The sequence below is a fragment of the Homo sapiens genome, chromosome X, assembly GCF_000001405.40.
Source record: "Homo sapiens chromosome X, GRCh38.p14 Primary Assembly".
NCBI lineage: Eukaryota > Metazoa > Chordata > Mammalia > Primates > Hominidae > Homo > Homo sapiens.
In genome coordinates this window covers 102,359,587-102,376,457 of record NC_000023.11, presented here as the reverse complement: position 1 = coordinate 102,376,457, position 16,871 = coordinate 102,359,587, and the positions used below count along the sequence as shown (strand labels likewise).

Sequence of the window (16,871 nt, the reverse complement as noted above, 5' to 3'; positions counted from 1 at the left end):
ACTGCAATTCACATGGAGAGTTAAAAAATGTGGTTGCCTGGATCTAACCACGGTTCTGCTTTGATTGTTTTGGGTGTGTCCTGGTGCTAGTGAATTGTTTCAGTGTCCCCAAGTGGCTCTAATGTGTAATCATGGTTGAGAACTGCTTGAACAATTTAAATCATAAGAATGCAAGCCTTTCACAATATTTAATTTTAAAATTTTATAATTGTGGTTTCAGAATGATAATATTACAGTAATAATAAATACATAGTTACGCTGGAAAATATGAAATAAAGATTCCCATGTAAGACATCGAGAAGATTGTCTTTTTCAAAGAGAAAGGAAATGGGAAAACACAGTGGTAAAGCCGGGGCCACCACAGGTTGTGTCCGGCTTGAAGCTAAACTGCCGGCAAGGCCAGAGCAAGGTATGGATTAAAGCTAAGTGTCTGTGAGCCCAGGGCTGATTCAGCAGTGGAGCTTCCTCTGCAGAAGACATCCACAACCCAGGATCAGCAAGGAAGGGATGGCACAAACTCAACAAATCCAATAATTGGCACTGAGGGAACAGAAAGAATGGAAGAGGCTGAAACAGACATTAAGATAATATTTCCCCAGAGAGACAAAGGAGTGATAAAGGATGAAATTGTGTCTATTACGAAAGAATAGAAGACTGCCCAAGAAAGATGGCTTTTTGAAGGCAAGGATCTCCTTTCACTTCCTCCTGAAACTTCATTAAAACAACATCAAAGGTGAACAAATTATGGTATATCCATCAAGGGGCTTTTACTCAGCAAGGAAAAGTCAAGAACATGGATGGGTCTCAGAAACATTATGCCGAGTTAAAGAAGCCAGACCCAAAGGGGTGCAGCATGCACAAGTCCATTTGTGTGAAATCCTAGAACAGGAAGATGAATATATAGTAACGGAAAGTATATCAATGTTTGCACGGAGCCAAGGGATGAAGAGGAGATCGACTGGAAACCTTTTGGGTTGTGTTATATGTTCTATATCTTGATTGAGGTGGTAGCTAGCCCTAATCTCTGATTTTTACATGTAAGGAACCTGGGATCAGGAGAAGTTGAATGAGTCGTCAAAAGTGAGGTTAGCTTATTAATCAGAGAGAAGATATTCACACTTGATTGTCAGTAATAAACGGTTTCCATTATGCTGTATATGGGTCGATAGGAAAAGTGCTTCTCCCCAAGCACTTGACAAAACCCTGACCCGGCCATAAACATCCTCTTATACAAGTATGAAGCGTAGGTGTGAAAGTATAACCATTCTGCATTCCAGCCACCTACTTCTACACATGGTTGACATTCTCACGTGTCCCTTTACCCTGACTTGTTTGTGTTTATATTTACAAATGAAAACATAACTTCTCATTAATATTTTCTTCTGAGGAATCATACTGTAATATACAGTTTTATAACCTGACTTTGTTTTTCTTTCCCTTTGTATCACGTGGCGTGACGAGTATTCTACCTTGTTGCTTATAGTCTGCCACTTAAACCTGAAACATTTCTTGCATAATAATACATTTTTTTTTTTCCTGAAAGATCGGAAACGGGAACTTAAGCTCCCTACTGAATCCTTCCGCATAACCTGTTTCATGCTCTGAGCTTTCTGTTTTGGTTCCCTGAACCCATATGTCAGATGATTCCCCACTGGAGCCGGGGCTGCCCTGTTTTACTACTGCCGCTTTGTAAGATACATTAATAGCTGACATGGCAACCAGATGCCACTCACTCATCTCTTTTCCTTGTCATTTCCAGGAGGACTAATAACAACGAATGCAACTAACACGTATTTCTCCCTCAATAAACGCCAGATGTTGTACTACGTTCTCGACATAGTAATAGACAACTTATTTATAGTGCTTGTTAGGTCACGGGCATTTCTCCAGGTGCTTTTCACGTGTTTCCATGTGTTAACTCACTTAATTTTTACAGTAGCCCATGAGGTAGAAACTGTTACTATCTTTGAGTTAGGGGGAAAACAAGCAAAAAGAACTTGAGTCACAGCGAGGTCACTTAGTTGCCTTGGATCATAGAATTTAGCACCAGGATTGAAATCCTGATGGATCTGACCACAAATCCTAGGCCCATAACCAATAATGTGCGACTCTGTGTCAAGGCTGAAATGAGCAGTACGACAGGGCCCACTCAAAGTCTGCTGGGCAATGATGGGTGTGGTTTCTGGAACCAATGTCCCGACTCCAGCCTTCTGTCCAAGAGACTCATCATTGCACAGTGTTGCCCTATACCATCTCTCCTTTTTTCGGACTGTGTGGGAACTGTTTCTCTGGTGTTCAACTTGAAGTGAAGTAACAGGGACAGACAAGATGTACATGGACAGGAAGGAAGGAGGGTTTTCAGAGGGGAGCATATCGCCAGGATGAATTCAGTTCCCTGGAGGCGTTTTCAATGTGTGTTTCTTTGTCTTCTCTGTACTCACCCTCTTCTTTCTGACCCACACATCCATCCCTTGGCCTTTTCACCCTGTATGTCAGGTACTCATGCCCCTTCCTTGCCATGTCTACTTCATTGCAAGGGCAGTCATTTCTACTTCTCCCTTTGACAATATCAGCCACTCTCTGGTCCCGTCATCCTTCTGTCCCAAAGGACCTGTAAAGCACAGCCGTATAATTATATGTATATATTTAGACAGAGAGTGATATATGTAATAAATTCGAAAAGTGAAACGTCTGGATCAAAGTGTAAGAATGACTTCTGAATGGTTAGGCATATTGCAGAAAATTAGACTCACACACGGTTAGTGGAAGTGTATATTGGTGTAAATATCATTGAAAATCCTTACGAAAATATCACTTTATGCTTAAAAGTACTCATGTGCTTCTCCTGGGAAACTGTAGAGCAGGGACTCAAAATCTTAAACCCACTTCGAAGCCCTGGCTGTGTTCCACTGGGTTTTTTGGCCACCCCTGCTGGGGGTACTCTGTAACCCTGGTCAACCTGTGGGTATTGTTCCATTACTTTTGTGTACAGGGAACTCTCCTACTTTCTTATTTTAAAACTATCAGTTCAAATATTAAAACACCGAGAGGTAGAAAAGAAAAAAAGCACTAAAAAGCATATTCTGAACAAGAAACAAAATTTGGCCATATATAATACATAACACATGAAAAGAAATGTGCAGTGGGATCCAGTGTTGTGTGGCAATGTGTTTACCAACATGATTTGGAGTACATGTATCTGTAACCTAATTGTGGAAGCATGTAATACGAAACACTAATACTTGCTCGCATGGGCAACACGGACACACAGACCACACATTCTTCCCTTTCTCTGAGACAGGGATGATGCTTCCTGTCTGTCACAAGGCTGAGTGAACACAACATGCCTGTAGGTCCAGAACATTCTTCCTACAGAGACCAGATGTCCAGAAAGCCCTATCTGCTGGATTCAGGGAACGCCTCTCCTCATTTCTGTCAGCACTATTTGCAAAAGCCTCCTTCTCTGAGATCTTCAAAGCTGCAGTTCTAGCCACAGTCTGCAGGGAGGTACTCAGTTCTATTTCTAAGGATACATTAATGAAAAAATATTAATGTTGCAGAAGAAAAGATTAATTTGTTCTAGTTTTGCAGTCAGGTTATGAAATAGTTCTGCAGCCCGAATAGCTCTGGAATAAATATAAATAGAGGTCGGTAGAAATGGTTCAGATGGATGTATTCTCAAAAGTGGTTTTGTCGATGATCCCAAACCTACATCAAATGCATTCATTTAACAAATATTAATTAGGCCCTTATTCTATGCCAGACACTACCAGCCCAAAGTGACTCCTAATCTGAAAACCCATGGCCCAAACAGATTACACCCATCTGGTCCAAGACAGAGATCTCCACCTTATCCAAGACACCTGGTTCCCACCCCAACAGGAGTGACTAGCACAAAACATCATCCCGGCCTGCTTACAAAAAAATCTGTCGATGAGACCTGAAAGCTTGCCATTTAAGGGAGAACCAGTGCAGTCTCTGGAGGAGCACTCAGGGTATAGAGGCAGACCAATATACGTGAGGACATAATTCCTGTTCTGCCACTTACCTGGCTGGGAAATGTACCCGACATCTGTGAACCCAATATTCATGATCTGAAAAGGGACTGTGGATAAAATTCTCATGGGATTTCTGTGAGGAGGTCAAGAGAAACCTAGTGAGTCTGCCCAACACTGAGCAGATGTTGGTTGCCACTGGGCAAGGGTTGGTTTTCTTCTTATCCCGTTCTTTCCCTGCCGTAGCAGGGATGCTGATGCCATGCACTCAGTGGCATGGCAGTGATGTAGGCAGAATTCCAAACTAACACAGGAAGTACCAGTAGGAACACACGTGATGTCATAAAGGTTACTCACCACTATGTCTGTGTGGGGGGATCAGCCAGTACATGGTGGGACTTGAGGGGAAACCCAGGCGGTCTGGGTGAGAAGTACTAGCTGCTTTATAATACTCTTGAGATCGCCCGTAATTCTGGCAGCACAACTGCGAGACAGGGATTGTGCTGAGATGCCAGAGTTCAGCAAGTGGATGTACGCCTGTGTGTGTTGTGTCTTCGGCATCTCTCTCTGTCCGGTCCCTCTGTGGCTTTTTATCACATGTGCTCTCTTCCAACACAAGGCCTTGCCTGAGGCTGTAGCTGTAGCTGTTGGCTAGCTTACACTTTTACACCTTCTTCCCCTCAGTGACGTTATTTCTGAAGTAATGTGTGTTCTCAAAAATGACTCTGACTCTTCCTGTGCTCCATATATTGACCGTGTGCCCTTAACCCTCACTTTAATCTTTGATTTTTTTCCCTTTCATTTATGGACTTTCATGAAAATGAGTTGGTTTCTGGACATCCTCCAAATGTCACCAATAGGGGTCTTTGTTGTTGTTGTTGCTGTTGTTGAGTATTGTTATGGACTCATAACTTTTTAACATACTGATGGGCTCCAAACCGCGGTTAAAGGATTTTGAGTAAAGGAATGACAAGATTTGACTTATGCCTTAAAAAATCACTCTGCCTCCTGTGTTGAAAATAGATGGTAGGGGAGTCAAGGGCAAAAGCAGGACAACTTGGAAGGCAGCATAATCCAGGAGACAGATGTTGGTGACCTGGCCAGGGTAGGTAGCAATGGAGGGGGTGAGAAGTGGCCAGACTCTGGATATATTTTAAAGGTAGAGCCAAGAGAAGATACATCCATCCTGATCGGTTGGATGTAGAGTGTGAGAGAAAGAGAGCACTCCAGCCCCACTTCCAAGTTGTAGGGACCAAGCATCAGGAATGTCTAGGTCAGATGCTCTGCCCACATTTAATTTCACTTCTAATGGCACACAGGGAAAGTCCCAGCAATCGAGAGGAGCAGGACTGTCCTGACAGCGGGTCACACACAGTGAAAGCAATGATGCCCCCTACAGAAGTTCATCTGAGGCCTGGCCATAATCAGTATATTGCAGAGAGGTCAGCAGTGACCGAAATTTTATTCATAAGAGTGCCCTGAGACAAGGTGTACATTTTGAAATTGGTCGAGGTCTGTTTGATGGTCCAGGAGATGGTCTACCTTCGTGAATGCTGCAAGACAGTAGAGGGGGAAAAAACATACATGCTCTGTTTTTGTTGTTGGGTACAGTGTGTTGGGTACGGTGTTTTATTTATGTCATTTAGATCCTGTTACTGTAGTGGTTTTCAGTATCTGCTGATTTTCTTTCCAGTAATTCTGTCACTTGCTTAGGAAGAGTTGTCTCTTGGGCTGAAAGCATTTCGGGCTGGGCAAAAAGAAAGCTTGCTCTGGGTATTTCAAACTGAGTATTTTTGAGGGCAAGGCTGGAGGCAGGAGGGCAGCTTGGGAAGCTGTTACATCGGACCCACCTGTCATTAAAGCTCGTACTGCACTGGCAAAGAGGTATAGCTTGCTGATTGTTCACAGAATGCATTTGGGGATTGGATTTGGGAGGTGCGAGAGAGCTTGTCTCCCAGGTGTTGGTGTGGTTGTTAGATTAGAGAAGCCTGAGAGAAGGCAAGATTAGGACCCCTTCCAGGTGTGTGGCTGGTGTCTAGTCTAACCCATGGACACGCGCACCTCTGTTCTTTATAATTCCTGCTCCATTTCTCAGGAGGTTCAACACAGTTGCTTCCTCTCCCAAGATTCCTACCCTGATTGTGCCACCTGTGAGATAAGGCTCTTGTATCTGGACAGGCAGAGGAGTTTGTTTTCTGGGGCTTATGTGGCGGGTTGGCACTTTGCTAGCCCTACCATGGAGTTAGCTCACGACGTGGTACGTGGTAAGTGGACCATTGATGTGTCTCAAACTTGTCTTTTTGTTCTCAGTTGCAGAATGCCATGACCATGGTAGCACTTTTCAAGGAAGAAAGAAAGGTGGGAGTTCTTTCCGGGATAATTTTGACAAGAGGAGCTGTCATTATGAACATGGTGGGTATGAGCGCCCGCCTTCACACTGCCAGGAGAATGATGGAAGCGTGGAGATGAGGGATGTCCACAAGGACCAACAACTAAGACAGTAAGTGACCAGGCAGCCTGGTTTGCACGTAGCAGCCCCCGGGACTGTGCAACCCTTTCATTCTCTGTGGTCTTCCTTTTCTTCTCTCATTAGAGAACTGACGAATGCTGGAAGTGGAATAGTGGCTGAGCAGTCCTAATTGTAGCCCTGGCGTCAGTGAGTGGAGCATGTATAGGAGACTTTCTTAGATTTAATGGATACCCGCCTTCTCTCCTCTTCCCCACAGCACTCCTTATAGCATCCGATGCGAAAGAAGAATGAAATGGCATAGTGAAGACGAAATCCGTATTACCACGTGGAGAAATAGAAAACCTCCGGAGAGAAAAATGAGTCAGAACACACAGGATGGATACACAAGGAACTGGTTTAAGGTCACAGTGAGTATCTTGGTGGGGTCTGCATTAGGTGGACTATTCTGGAACCTGATAGAAGGAAGACCACTTAAAACACCCTAAGTTGATTATTTGGAGGAGAGCTTCGGAATGGGGGGAAAGGGAGTTTAGGGCATCTATATTTGGCACAAAAATAAGAAATCATGTCAGCGGTCCTTTCTTTAGAAATCTAAGCTAAGTAGAAGGTTGGAAAGAAAGAAAAAAAAAACCCAGCTGGTTGGTTCTGTTCTCCATCCTTAGTTCCACGTTGTCTCTCCCTTCCCTCCTATTTCTTCTTTTTACCCTTAGATTCCTTACGGGATAAAGTATGACAAGGCATGGCTAATGAATTCAATCCAGAGCCATTGCAGTGACCGCTTCACTCCGGTTGATGTAAGAGAGGATGGTGAAGCCAGATGAGTGGGCATGGGGGACGGGGAGAGGCCTGGCTCAGCAGGGGCCATTGGCCTCTGACGCTGTTGCTCTTGCCTTCACTCCCTGTAGTTCCACTACGTCCGAAATCGGGCATGCTTCTTTGTCCAGGATGCTAGCGCTGCCTCCGCATTGAAGGATGTCAGTTATAAGATTTATGATGATGAGAACCAAAAGGTGTGTGCCGAGGGCATGCCCTGTACTTAGTCTCTGGGCAGGAGGACAGGCCAGGGGGCTGGTCATCCTCTTTGGGATTAGAGGTCCTGGTACTTACCACCCTGCCTTCCTGCAGATATGTATATTTGTCAATCATTCTACTGCGCCCTACTCTGTGAAGAATAAGTTGAAGCCAGGCCAAATGGAGATGCTAAAGGTAATACAGACTCAAGGATCATTGTATGCCTGCTTCCTGGACCCACCTCTTCTTCCCCTGGCCCCCTCTTTCCCTGTCACCACCACCACCACCACCACCACCACCACCACCACCACCACCATCACCACCACCACCACCACCATCACCAGAGCCCCAGAGCCTCTGTCTTCATCTCTATCTCTGCAGCTGACCATGAACAAACGGTACAATGTCTCCCAGCAAGCTCTTGATCTCCAGAATCTCCGCTTTGACCCAGGTAAGGCTGACAGCAGCAATTCTAAGACAAGCGGGGGCAGAGAGGTCTGCCTGGGAGGGAGACTTAGGAATGGCAATTTACAGAGGGGTTGGGGCTGGCTCTGGTCCAGCCAGGGCCCTCCCAGCCTTCCGATTCCCTTCTCTTGGCTTCTTCAAGACTTGATGGGCCGTGACATTGATATAATCCTGAATCGAAGAAACTGCATGGCTGCCACCCTGAAGATCATTGAAAGAAATTTCCCTGAGGTGAAGCCTTAGGCTCAGTGCTGGTATTTAGTTAGAGGGGTGGAAGGGATAAGGTGGAGGGCAGATTTGTCTCTGAGGCCCAAGATAGTAGCCGCCACTCTAACTCTTCTTGACCCAAAGCTGTTGTCTTTGAACTTGTGCAACAACAAGCTGTACCAGCTGGATGGCCTTTCTGACATTACAGAGAAGGCTCCCAAAGTCAAGACCCTGAATCTCTCCAAAAATAAGGTGAGAAGGGGGAGCCAGATCAACTTTGGGTGGAGGGCAGGACACATCAGGATAATGGCAACAGCCAGGCAGTGGCACCTGTGGGTGACTATGAGGGCCGGGGGAATTCAGGGCCCAGGGTCCTGGGTGTCTCTCTTTCCCTGGCCCTCCTTCTCCAGTTTCCTCCCCATCTTTCTTAGCTGGAGTCGGCGTGGGAGTTGGGCAAGGTGAAAGGGCTGAAGCTCGAAGAGCTATGGCTAGAAGGGAACCCGTTGTGCAGCACCTTCTCGGACCAGTCCGCCTATGTAAGGTCAGTGGCAACCCCGGTCACCCTTCCTGGGCACCTTTGCTCCCTGGGTGACTGAGCTGTGTCTGAAGGTGCCCTTCTGCAGGAAGAAGCAGCCTTGGTCCTCTGGGAGGACCACAGACCTCCCTTCCTACTCTCTCTCTCTCTCTCTCTCTCTCCTCTCTCTCTGTCACTCACTCATCTGTGCTTAGAGGTCTCCTTTCCTTCCTCTGACATGGTCCCCTTTTCACCTGCTCTGGGGTGTGTTTCCCGCCTGTCTCCACCAAGCCTCCTCCAGTGTGCCCTCTGTGAGTGTGCTCCAGGAAGTGGGGCTCCCCCACCTCCCCAGGACCAGCAGTATTCAGATGCTGGTGCCCTGGACCGAGAAGAGTCCTTTAGTCCGGGGCTTCATGCTGAGACAGGCCTTCCTGCCTCCATGCTGCGATGGGGCTTCCCTCCCCTGTCCCAAGAGGGGTTCTCCTTCTCTTGCTCCAAAAAGGTCCCCCCACCTGTCCTGGGCTGGCATGGGGGCTTCCCTGCCCCATACTGAGGGCTGGGGCCCCGGGTGGCTGCTGTCATGCCATCTCTTCCTCTGGCCCAATGCCAGGAGCTGGGCCCTCCTTGGGGAGAAACCTGGGTTTCCTACGTCAAGGGGCCAGAAGCGGGCCACGTTCCTGAGGCAGGAGTGGAAGGCAGAGGGCAGAGGAGGTTGAGAAGACAGAAGGACAGGCCTCTCAGGGCACTGCCCCACCTTCCCTCCTTCTCCACCTCACATCGTCCTGCCTGGGCCCTCAGAGGAGCCCTGGGTAGCCCGAGATGGGTAGCATTCCTCGGTCAAGGCGTCAGCACAGAGGGGCACAGGAGTCAGGGACCATCAGAAGAGAATGCAGTGGTCTGGAGAGGGGGTCCCCAGACTCTGAACCCCATGCTGAGCTGGGGCCTGACTCTTCACTCCTCCCGGGAGAAGGTCTCCTGTCCCCGTGGCTGCTCTGTTTCCCATGCCCAGCTCAGACTGAGCTCACACAGGTGAGGAAGGCTCCAGCTGCATCCAGTGGGCCCCAGCCCAACAGGCGCATGTTTTCCTTTCCTGCCTCGGTCCCCAGGGCCAGCCAGGGAGCAGTGAGGGAAAGGGCTGCAGCAGGGGAGCCCTTTTCTCCTCTTCTCCTCCCTGAACTCCACCTCCGCAGTAGAGAGTCTTTCCCTTCCCTTTGCATTGCATCCTGTTTCTCCCTTGTCTCTCCTCTCCTATGTCTCACCCATCCGTCCCTCCCCTACCTTCACCCCGTTTCTGTTGTTGTCCCCCCTGCCTTCCGCTTCCTGCCTCCTGAGTCCGGCCTCACTCACCTCCGTGTCCCAGCATCCTGGGCCATCCCTAAGGGCTGACCTGGTCTTGGCCAGGGCCTGGTCAGGCAGGTTGATGGACAGCCAGTGAGGTGGCAGAGCCCTGGGCTCCCACCCCATTTCCTGCTCCCTGCAGAGCCTTCCATGGTGACTTGGGCAAAGGGGAGGGAGGGAGAGGAAGAAAGCCCTGGAGCCTGGGCTCCCAGTGCTGCTTCTTGTAGCACTGGAGAAAAGGGAGTCAGGACAGTCTAGATGGAAGCTAACCAGGAGGAAGGAGAGGGAGGAGTGTGAGAGGGAGTGGGAGAGAGACTGTGCAACCCTGAACTGTCAGTCACTTCATTCAATTTTTGGTTTTGGACAGTGCCATCCGGGATTGTTTCCCCAAGTTGTTACGCCTGGTAAGTATGTATAATACCGTCATCATTGTCTCCTCTTACTCAAGAAAAGGACCTCCACGCCTGCCCTCAAGTCCTTTGGGTCTTGCCTAGATTACATGCTTGTATCAGACCCTCATCCATTTTACAGGCATGGATTCCTGAAAAAGACAAGAATATTCTCCCTGGAAAATGTGTCCCCCCGCCGCCACCCCCCCCACACACACACATTTGCATGTGATAGTAGAGATGTCCAGCACCCCATGAGAAAGCCACCCACTGGAATTTCCAGGGCCATTTCCCACCTAGCCTCTGATGCTTGTCTCCCTGGGCATGTTCATCTTATCGATCATCCAGCTCCATCTCCTTGGTCTCCACTGCTGACTTCCTCTTTCCTTCTCCAGGACGGCCGAGAGTTATCCGCACCAGTGATTGTTGACATTGACAGCTCTGAGACAATGAAACCCTGCAAGGTGAGGAAGAAGGACCAAGCAAGATTTGGGTTGCTGTAAGGGAGGCTTTGTCCACCGCATAGATCCAAATTGTCTTTTGATTTCAGGAAAACTTTACTGGATCTGAGACCCTAAAGCATTTAGTCCTGCAATTCCTGCAGCAGTGAGTATCCCTGGGACCATGAGGAAGGGGAGGGCTGAGACAGGCTGGGCCACCCGTGCAGCCTGGGAGTTTTCAAGTCTCATCTGGGGCCCAGGCCACAGAGATAGCCTATCCTCACTGCTTCCCCACAGGTATTACTCGATCTATGACTCTGGAGATCGACAGGGTCTCCTCGGTGCTTACCACGATGAGGCCTGCTTCTCCTTGGCTATTCCCTTCGACCCCAAGGACTCAGCCCCGTGAGTATCACGGCTCAGACTCTGCTCTGGGGCTGTGTGTCTCCCCAGCAGACACAGGCCAACTCCTGGAAATGCCCACACTGGCCGGACCACCCACTCCTGCTCCTCTTTTTCTCCTAGGAGCAGCTTGTGCAAGTACTTTGAGGATAGCAGGAATATGAAAACACTCAAGGACCCCTGTAAGTGTGTGATGGGGAAGAGTGGGCAAGGTAAGGGGGTGTGATGGGAACAATCACAGGGGCCAAGGACCAGGATGTGGTAGCCCCCCGCCCTGCCCCGCCCACCCTGCCATTCCTTGCTTCTCCTCTCCTCTACAGACCTGAAGGGGGAACTGCTGAGGCGCACAAAACGTGACATTGTGGACTCCCTCAGTGCGTTGCCCAAAACTCAGCATGACCTCAGCTCCATCCTGGTGGACGTGTGGTGCCAGACGGTGAGCACCTGCTTCCTCCCTTGGGCAGGCCCAGAGAGCCAGAGGTGGGTAGGAGGTTAAGGAGGATCCTGAGCACCTGAGCGCTTCCTTTTCAGGAAAGGATGCTCTGCTTTTCTGTCAATGGGGTTTTCAAGGAAGGTGAGTGTCTGTATAGTCCCCTCCCCAGATCCCCCACTGCTCCCTCCCCCTGGCTGGGCTCCCTCTCAGAACTCCCCCAGCTTCCCTGCTTTCGTTCCTTTCCTTTCCTTCCTCTTCTTTCTTCCGTGTTTTCCCACCCCCACTCTGCCTTCAAACCACCCTGATCTGACCTAGGTCCATGCCTGTCTGCCCTGCACAGCTCAGGCGTGCGTTAAGGACACAGACTGTGGAGTTTGACAGCTCTCATCCCAGGTCCTTACTCTGTGAACTTGTGCTGGTTACTTAACCCTTCAGTTTCCTCATTTGCAAAATGGGGCTAATAATCTATCTCTTGGGCTACTGTGAAATAGGAATTAAGTGAACTTGTGGTTTTCCCAGGGCCCCACACATGATAGGGGCCCTGTCACTGGGAGCGGATTGTTCCTGTTGCTGCCCTCCCCATTCCTGCCACATCCGCCTGACTCCAAGTGAACAATTGTCCTGGTCTGCCCCCTCCCCCCCTTCTGTGTGAGTGTCAAGCAATACTCTGACTGGGGATCACCGTGTGAGCATGTTAAAGCCTGTGCAACTCTAAGGTGGTGGTGTTTGTTGTCTTTGAAGTGGAAGGACAGTCTCAGGGTTCTGTTCTCGCCTTCACCCGGACCTTCATTGCTACCCCTGGCAGCAGTTCCAGGTTAGTGCTGTGTTGTGGGTGGGAGCACCCATCCAAGCTTGGGGCCAGTGTTGTGGAAATGTGGTGGGTGCAGTCCTCCGGGTGTTCTCAATATTGTGGAAGGCCGACAGGAAGATCCAAGGAGCAGTCTAGCCTAGTGTTTAAGAGTGTGGGCCCTGGAGTCAGAATACAGATTCTGTTCCTCACTCCAACACTCACAAACTGTGTGACCTTGATCAACTTATTCGACCACTCTGTGATTCAGTGCCTTTTTCTGAAAATTGGAATAAGACTATCCACTTCCTTGGGCTGTTGTACAGGGTAAATGCGTTGGGGTTGGATCTAAAAATCTAGTGAAGCTGGTAGACAGTCCCTCCAAAGGTGGACTCTGTGGGAGGGTTAGAGGGTACCAGCCAAAAAATCTGGGAGGCAGGCACAGTTAGGGATATGGAAGGAATTTGGTTGTTGAGTGGCAGTGGTTAAGAAGGATCCTGTTGTTGGGGGTGCGGAGTTATCTACTTGTCCAGTTTGAGGGTGCATTTTTCTTTCCTCCAGTCTGTGCATCGTGAATGACGAGCTGTTTGTGAGGGATGCCAGCCCCCAAGAGACTCAGAGTGCCTTCTCCATCCCAGTGTCCACACTCTCCTCCAGCTCTGAGCCCTCCCTCTCCCAGGAGCAGCAGGAAATGGTGCAGGCTTTCTCTGCCCAGTCTGGGATGAAACTGGAGTGGTCTCAGAAGTGAGTGCTGGGAGTACATGGGGATGGGGGCTGTTGGGACATCAGAGGAATGAGTAATGGAAACTCACATGCAATTTGGAAAAATAACTATCTGGGTATTTTGCTTCCAAAAAAAGTGGGTCCATGAAAAAGGTATCATACTTTTATACTGGTATATGTAAATATTTTTTTAAATGGCATAATGCCCAAATGACATTACCTTCCATTTGTAAAATCTGAAAGAATCAACCACAATAAACTACTGATAAACCAGGTCAGCAAGGTTGAAAGATACAATATACAAAAATCATTTGTACTTCTATGTAGTTGCAATGGACAATCCAAAAAAATGAAATTAAGAAAATAAGTCCATCTACAGTAGCATCGAAAAGAAGAAAGTATGTAGGAACAAATTTAAGAGAAGAAGCGCAAATCTTGTACTCTGAAATCTGCAAAACATTGCTGAAAAAAATTAAAGAAGACCTAAATACGTGGAAAGGCATCCCACGTTCATAGATTGGAAGACTTAATATCATTACGATGGCAGTACCACCCAGAACAATCTACAGATTCATTGCAGTCCCTGACAGAATCCCAACTGACTTCTTTGCAGAAATTGACAAGGTAATCCCAAAATTCATGTGGAAATGCAGTGGACCCCAAACAGCCAAAACCATCTTGAAAGAGAAGAACAACGTTAGAAGACTCACACTTCCCGATTTCAGAACTTGCTACAAAACTACATTAATCAAGACTGTATGGTACCGACATAGGAACAGACGTGGGAATCAATGGAATATAATTGAGAGTCCACAGATAATCTCACGTATTTATGTCCAGTTGATTATCATTCAGGGTGCTGAAAAAATCCAATGGAGAAAAAAAATAGTCTTCTTAACAAATGGTGCTGGGAGAAGTGGATATCCACTTGCAAAACAATTAATTTTGACCCCTAACTCACATCACGTGCAAACACTGGCAGAAAATGGATCAATGACCTAAAATAAGAGCCAGAACTGTAAAACACTGTAAGTGTACATCTTCATTACCTTGAATTAGGCAACCATTTCTTACATATGAAACCAAAAGCACAAGCAACCAAAGAAAAAATAGGTAAATTGGACTTCATCTAAATTAAAAGCTTTTGTGCATCAGCAGACACTATCAAGAAAGCGGAAAACCGACTGGTGGGAACAAGGGAAAATATTTGCAAATCACATCGCCGACAAGAAGAACCCTTACAACTCAACAACAAACAGACAAGCCACCGAATTAAAAAATGGGGAAATGATTTGAATAGATGTTTCTCCAAAGGAGATATACAAATGACCAAGAAGCACGTGAAAATCTTCTCAACATCGTTAGTCATTAGGGAAACGCATATCGAAACCACAGTGAGTTACCACTTCATACCCACTACGCTAGCTTTAGTCCATAAAAGGAAACATGACAAATGTCGGTGAGAATGCAGAGAAATTGGAAATCTCATGTATTACTACTGGGAACATAAAGTGGAGCAGTTGCTGGCAAAAAGATTTTGGCAGTTCCTCAAAATCTTAAACATGGAGTTACCACATGATCCAGTAATCCCACTCCTAAGTGTATACCAAAAGAAATGAAAATATATGCCCATTCAACAACTTGCACATGAATTTCCGTAGTGGCATTATTCCAAATAGCCAAAAAATGGAAACACATGGATTGACCTTCAGCTGATGAATGGATAATGTGGTACATCCATACGGTGGAATATTATTAGAATATTATTCATCCACAAAAAAGGATGTAGTTGTGATATATGCTATGACGTGGATGAACCCTGAAAACATTATGTGCTAAGTGGGAGCACCCAGTCACAAAAAGCCACATAATTATATGATTCCATTCATACGAAGTGTTCAGAATAGCCAGATCCGTAGAGACCGAAAGCAGAGTAGTGGTTGCCAAGATCTGGGGAAGAGGGAGAACAGGGAGTGATCTCTAACAGTTAAGGAGTTTCTTTTTGAGGTGATAAAAACAGTTTGGAATTAGATAGGTGTGATGGTTGCACAATCTTGTGAATAGACTTAAAAGCACTGAATTGTACACCTTAAAATGGTGACTGCTACAGTATGTGCATTATATCTCAATAGAAAAGAAACGTATTATTGAATTTCCACTTGTTATTTCTTGAACATCTTTCTTTATCAATATGTATTAAGCTCCCTTGTTCATTTGAATACCGCTATGTTTCTGATTTGAATTCTAGTGGGCATTAATGTCAGGGATGGGCGTTTTGGTTTTCCCCAGGCCTTTTTTCATTGTTACAATAGTGCTCATATTGGTACATGTGACCCAGCAAAAAGGTAGCATAGATTAAGGGTGGCATTGCATAGTCAGCGTGTCTGTCCTGGGCTAGTAATGGAGAGCACCTGTTCTTCTCCCACCCCAGGTGCCTTCAGGACAATGAGTGGAACTACACTAGAGCTGGCCAGGCCTTCACTATGCTCCAGGTGAGGTCTGGGAATCAAGTGGGTAAAAGACAGCTGTCTCTGGGTCGTCAGGAGGGCCAAGAAGATGGAGGCCAGGTAGTGTGGGGATGGAACCCAGTGCACCTGGCTCTACTAACATCCCAACTCCTTTTCTTTACTTTCTCTAGACCGAGGGCAAGATCCCCGCGGAGGCCTTCAAGCAAATCTCCTAAAAGGAGCCCTCCGATGTCTTCTTTGTCTTCGTTCACATCCTCTTTGTTTCCTCTTTTCACCAGCCTAAGGCCTGGCTGACCAGGAAGCCAACGTTAACTTGCAGGCCACGTGACATAACCACCCAAAGAGCCAGTTGCTCTGTGTATTCGCCCCACTCATGATCACCATTTTATTTTCATAATAAAGAGTGACGTTACACGTTGTACATTGTGTGCCCTGGATTGCTCTTCCCCTGCCCCAGCCGTGAGCCAGCGGGACCAGGACTGAAAGCACTGCATCCCTGTTCATCCCTGGCTGGCCTTAGCAGATACATGAATCTGGCTTGCCTTCATAGGTAATTTTGTCCGTAAATCCTCATGAGAAAGGACACACGCTCCTTCCAGAGACTGGCCTTGAGAGACAGTTGGACTCTGTCAGATGCTCGACCTGGAGGCCCACAGAAGCAGGCATGTTACCTTGGCACACCAGGGGCTTCCATCCACCGTCCCGACCCCTCCCTTTCCCAAAGGTGCACTTTTCGAGGAGTCGTCTCAGGGTAGCACCTGCGGCGGGGGGTGGCGGGGGAGGGGGATACTCAGCCCATCTACCCGGCACACTCCTCAGAGAGCTGACACCGGGTGCTCCATGTCCATGTTCTTGAAGGGGATCAGCCATTTATTTTCACTTCTAAACAAACAGCGATAGCACAGAATCTCACCTTATGGTCAGTTCTCAACAACTGGCATTTAGCAGTTCCTAATTGCAGGCAAGAGTTGAACGAAACGTTTGCACAATTTATTGTCCACACTCCTGTGATGCTTGCACGTTAGACAATCAGCTGGCATACTTTTCGAAATTAAAATAATAGCAGTGTGACGTTTTCAAGTCACAGTCCTATAAATGGTGACATAGGAGAAGTACCACCAGTTTACAAATTATGCCTCCACTTTCGTGTTTGGCATACGTTACTTCCTACCACTTGCCGCCTTCCTACCACTTGCCACTTTTCAGTTCTTTATGTACATGTACATTAG

General features: G+C 47.4%; 1 protein-coding gene across 1 annotated transcript in view; it reads left to right on the top strand.

Annotated features, from left to right (window-relative positions):
- NXF2B (nuclear RNA export factor 2B) overlaps positions 1-16,063 on the top strand; it is a 79,614-nt gene extending 63,551 nt beyond the window's left edge. The window contains exons 4-23 of the mRNA NM_001099686.3: positions 6,306-6,495; positions 6,722-6,872; positions 7,176-7,259; positions 7,371-7,475; positions 7,591-7,671; positions 7,858-7,927; positions 8,084-8,172; positions 8,293-8,400; positions 8,580-8,689; positions 10,368-10,404; positions 10,785-10,853; positions 10,940-10,995; positions 11,127-11,234; positions 11,355-11,413; positions 11,552-11,667; positions 11,763-11,805; positions 12,406-12,478; positions 13,013-13,195; positions 15,606-15,666; positions 15,813-16,063. Of these exons, the coding sequence (NP_001093156.1) occupies positions 6,306-6,495; positions 6,722-6,872; positions 7,176-7,259; positions 7,371-7,475; positions 7,591-7,671; positions 7,858-7,927; positions 8,084-8,172; positions 8,293-8,400; positions 8,580-8,689; positions 10,368-10,404; positions 10,785-10,853; positions 10,940-10,995; positions 11,127-11,234; positions 11,355-11,413; positions 11,552-11,667; positions 11,763-11,805; positions 12,406-12,478; positions 13,013-13,195; positions 15,606-15,666; positions 15,813-15,857 (1,838 nt within the window). The 3' untranslated portion in view covers positions 15,858-16,063. The remainder of the gene's footprint in view (positions 1-6,305; positions 6,496-6,721; positions 6,873-7,175; positions 7,260-7,370; positions 7,476-7,590; positions 7,672-7,857; positions 7,928-8,083; positions 8,173-8,292; positions 8,401-8,579; positions 8,690-10,367; positions 10,405-10,784; positions 10,854-10,939; positions 10,996-11,126; positions 11,235-11,354; positions 11,414-11,551; positions 11,668-11,762; positions 11,806-12,405; positions 12,479-13,012; positions 13,196-15,605; positions 15,667-15,812) is intronic.
- Positions 16,064-16,871: the final 808 nt, after the last annotated feature.